This window comes from Homo sapiens, chromosome 21 (genome assembly GCF_000001405.40).
Source record: "Homo sapiens chromosome 21, GRCh38.p14 Primary Assembly".
NCBI lineage: Eukaryota > Metazoa > Chordata > Mammalia > Primates > Hominidae > Homo > Homo sapiens.
Genome location: NC_000021.9, coordinates 24,636,399 through 24,641,181, shown reverse-complemented (window position 1 = coordinate 24,641,181; position 4,783 = coordinate 24,636,399). Strand labels below are relative to the sequence as shown.

The 4,783-nt window shown below is 35.7% G+C and overlaps 1 annotated feature.

Annotated features, from left to right (window-relative positions):
- Positions 1,562-1,731: an enhancer, noted in NCBI's record as "experimental_61838 CRE fragment used in MPRA reporter constructs". NCBI's record gives its function as "activates a minimal promoter by MPRAs in K562 erythroleukemia cells, with activity observed for the non-introgressed 21:26011850 variant allele {active_cell/tissue: K562}" and the evidence as "EXISTENCE:reporter gene assay evidence [ECO:0000049][PMID:34662402]".

Below are 4,783 nucleotides of genomic sequence, written 5' to 3'. Positions count from 1 at the left end.
CTCCACAAATGTATGAGCTTGTTTATATCTTGAAAGCAGTCAGTTATTAGTTTTCGATATTTAATCTTTTATTTATGAAAGAAGCAATTAATTAATTTAGAAAATCCATTGTTGACAAAAAAGTCAAACTCTGTAAAATATTTAAAGAGATTTATCCTAAGCCACATATGAGTGACTTATGGCCCATACCTCTCAAGTCCCAAGAAGTCTTGAGATCATGTGTTGGAGGTGGATGGGTTGCAACTTGGTTTTATACATTTTTGAGACAGGAGTTACAGGCAAAGACATAAATCAATATGTGTAAGTGATCCATTGGTTCAGCCTGGAATGGGGGGACATCTCAAAGTGAAAGAGGCTACAGGACATAGGTGGCTTTGAAGACTTTTGGATTGGCAATTGGTTCAAAGAATTAAGCTTTGCCTCATTAAATCAGCAGAAAGAAATGTTTGCATTAAGATTACAGGAGTTGTGGAAGCCAAGGTTGTTATTATGTAGATGAAGCCTCTAAGTAGCCGGCTTCAGAGAGAATAAATGGTAAATTTCTCTTATTGGATCTTAAAAGGTGTTAAAGCCTTAGTTAAATCTCTCTTGGATTCAGAAAAGACCAAGAAAGGGAAGTAGAGTCTCTATAGAATGCAATTTCCCACATGAGGGATGCCTTTGCAGGGCAATTTCAACATATTTCAAAGAAATATATTTTGGGGTAAAATACTCTGATTTTTTTCATGACCTTTTATCTGTCATGAGATGTTATACCAGAGTCAGGTTGGAATTTGGTATCTTATTACTATAAATAATCCATTTTGTCAGTGTCATCATCTGTCTTTTAATGTTAATGCTGGTCAATTGTGCATAAACTCCAAAAGGCAGGGGTTACAATAAGACATGTCTGATCTTCCTTTCCATCATGAACTAAACATGTTTTTCAGGTTTGAGATCCCCTTGGCCAAGAGGAGGATCCACTGAGTCTGTCAGAGGGCACAGAATTTTACTTTTGATGTACACCTTTCTTACAAAACGTCTGTATCTATGTACATCAAATGCTTACATCTACTAGAAAGTTTACGTCTCTTGAACTAATTTCAAAAGAAAACAATTTCTTTCTTGTGTTTCCCCCAAAACATGAAAGGTATACAAATTCTAATTCTTGATCAGCCCTTCTTTCCCCCACATCTATCATCTTTTCTTAAAAACCTTGGTTGTTCCAGCATACCTCTCCTCAGCCCCAACCCCAAGCTGTGTGGAATTTGCTATTTCTGTAATCATCCTGCACTCAGAATGAATTTAGTCTTTCAAAAGTAAACACTTCTTCCCATAATTGACATTTCTAGTCTCTTACACCCAATTTTTATTCTGTTGTTTTAGGAGTTGAGAAGAATGCCTCCAAGAGTTGGGTTTTGAAGTCAAGATTCTAAATCTTCTTTGAGGAAGAAGGCAGGTAAGAACTTGGGATAAATGCATTATATAAAGGTATTCATGCACACGTATGCACTCAGGTTTATAGCGTTAATCTGAAAAAAGTAATTGAAATGAGATTTAAAATGAAATAGAATATTTGCATCATATTATACAAAAGCATTCAAATACTTTATAAATATATACAAAAAATTATTATAATTTTGCTTTAAAGGAAATGACATCTAATAGGCCAGTTCTGCAATCTAATCTTGAAAGAGACATTTTACAGGAACAAAGTATTCATTTTTAGGTTACATCAAAAGAGAAAGTACTGACCAATAAGTAGTCATTGAATTCTTGATGGACAGCTGATAGAGTAGATTGTGGTATTGTAGCAAGACGAGCTGCAGACAAAACCTCTCAGACACTGAGTTGTGGAAGGAAGGGCTTTATTCAGCTGGGAACGTCGGCAAGCTACTGTCTTAAAATCCGAGCTCCCCGAATGCACGATTTCTGTCTCTTTTAAGGACTCACAACACTAAAGATTTCACATGAAAGGGTCGTGATTGATTTGAGCAAGCAGGTGGTATGTGACAGGGGCTGCATGCACCGGTGGTCAGAGAGAAACAGAACAGGGCAGGGAGTTTCACAATGTTCTTCTATACAGTGTCTGGAATATATGAATAACATCGGTTTCTAAGTTATGAGTTGATTTTTAACTACTGGGTTTAGGCCAGGCAGGCCCAAGCCTGGTTTTGGGCCTAGTGCCGGGCTGCTGGTCTTTGGTTTTACTTCCTTGTTTTTTCTTAAAACAGGTACTGAATATAAAACAATATAAAACAATATGAGAGGGTTTCTCTTTCCCCTTAGTGTTACTGCAAAAAAAGTTTAAATAGCTTTAAAAATTTTAAGAACAATCTTTATGCATTTATCAGAAGTGTTAACTTCTTTCCAGATGGTGATTATGAATTAAATGGAACCAAAAGTTTTGTGTTAGATTAGCTTGGGGGCCTTTTCTTAAAACATTGATTGGATAATGAAATATAGGGTAGCCAAGGTCAGGAATGCAGGTAAAGTTAAAATGCAAAATGAGAATACATGGGGGGAAGATGGGGATATGGAAAAAGAACAATGAAAAAGCCAACTGAATAGTGGAACTGCTCTGGGGTACTTAGTAACTCTTTAGCTTTTGTGAAAATGGATTTGATTGTTCAGAGCTAGGGATGATTGACAGTTATGTTGTTCCAGCATCCCCTGATAGGATAATACTACCACAGAATCCCTGACCCAGCAGAAGAATGTCAAAATGCTTTTAAATTTTTACTCCAAGTGCTGGTAGCTGAGATAAAGCAGACTATGTAAGGTGTAAATGTCCAGATTTTAGTATTCGATATTAAAATATAAAATATTCTCTTTCTTAAATTTTTTCCTATGTTTTTTGAGAGAAGAAAGAAAAAACCCTATCCCTTTCTGATTCATGTAGACAGAACTAAAAAGTCAAACTAAAGCAATCCTCTCAAATGTTAATAGTGAATAAAACAATTATTACATTTTAAATTTCTCAATTATTGATATAATTTCAATGCAATATAATTTCACGTGACTCTTTAAGCATTTTATCAGAACTGTTAACTTCTTTCCAGATAATGATTATGGATTAGATTACATCAAAAGGTTTTGTGTTAGAGTAGCTTGGGGGCAGTTTTCTTAAACATTGACTGAATTAAAAAAATACAGATTCGTCACCGGTCAAGTCTCCAGCCAAAGTTAATATACAAAACAACTATACATGGGGAAAGAAAAGAAATAGAAATATGGTAAGAGAAAATTTGAGCAGCCAACTGAATACATTAAATGAAAAATATATCTTCAAAACAACTTGAAAGAAATAAAAAATAAAAGCATTTTGTAATACACAATATACAGTCAGTAAACTTCCCCAGGAGGCAAATGACTGCTTTCTCAGAGTTATAATATGAATATATAGCAATTGTTGAAATGCTTCTTGTTTTTTTGGTTTAAATCTATTGAGATGCTGCTGCTAGGCTAGCTACCAAAAATAAAGACTAAAGCCATAATGGTGAAGAAAATCAAAATATTTTACCCCAAAATGCATTTTTTGACATATTTTTAAATGGCTGCTGAAGAGTCACCAGAGTGGCCTTGCAGAGGTATCTTTTGTGGGGAATATTTGCATTATAGAGAATCTCCATTAATGCGGCCAGGCCTTGCTTTTCAGGACCTTTTCCACATCTAGGAGAGATTGACAGTCTGACACTTTCAAAAGTCTGAAAAGAAACTTTCACCATCTATTCTCTCTGAGGGCTACTACTGTGAGGCTACACAACAAGGCCCCCTTTGCTAGCCAAACCTCTTCTTTTCTCCCTCCTTTAAACTGCCTTAACACTAGAACCTGTTTTTGGGCCATGCTCTGAGCCTGCGTTCTTTCTATAACCTCAGGATGGTATATAAGCTTCTGTACTTTGTTGTGGGGTTGGGTCTTCATTCTGAAGGCTTCCATGTAGACATGCCAAATAGAATTTGTATGCCTTTTCGTGTATAAATCTGCCATTTGGGAGTTGATTTTTTTTTTTAGCAAACATTCAGAGGACTAAGGAGAAAGCTCTCCCGAGGCCCTCACAATGGATTTCCTCATCATGATCACAGAACACTTACTAGTGATTTCTCTCACTCTAAGTGTCAGTCTTTCCTGGAAAAGTCAGGAGAGAAGGGTTTTTAAACTCTGGGGTGAGCTAGTAGAAAAGTCATGGAGGACGTGAGGTAGGCAGTTGATCCCTGGGATATGTCCAGCACATTATGTTTGCATTATTTGCAAATGTGTTTTATTTTTCTGTAAACTAGTCATGCGTATTGGCTAATTGGCTTTACTCCAGCAAAAAGTAAATTTTCTTCTATGTTTATGACAGAATGTCTTGTAGCCTTGCTCCAAGTTACACTGAAGTTATATGTGCCTAAACTCCCACAGGGACTAAGAATTAGGATTGCTTTTTCCTGATGATTACGTTTCAAAGGGACAGTTCCCAGATCTAGAGAAAGACATTCCCGGGTTTTAAAACTGGCAAGAGGCTTTTTAAAAGATTTACATCTCAAAAGAGTAAAAAAAAAAATATATATATATATATATACACACGCACACACACATACATACATATATATACACACATACATATATATATATATATATATATATATAATTACAAGTATTTTTTTTAAAAAATAAATCATTTAAGGGATAAGAGATCAGAGACCTAGGTGCAGGAGGAAGTCTGCCTAGAATTTGGTCTAGCTGACAGCAATGTTAGGGCCCTCTTTTTCCAGCCCTAGAGTTGATCAACTACATATGCTACTAAGTTTTCCATGCTTG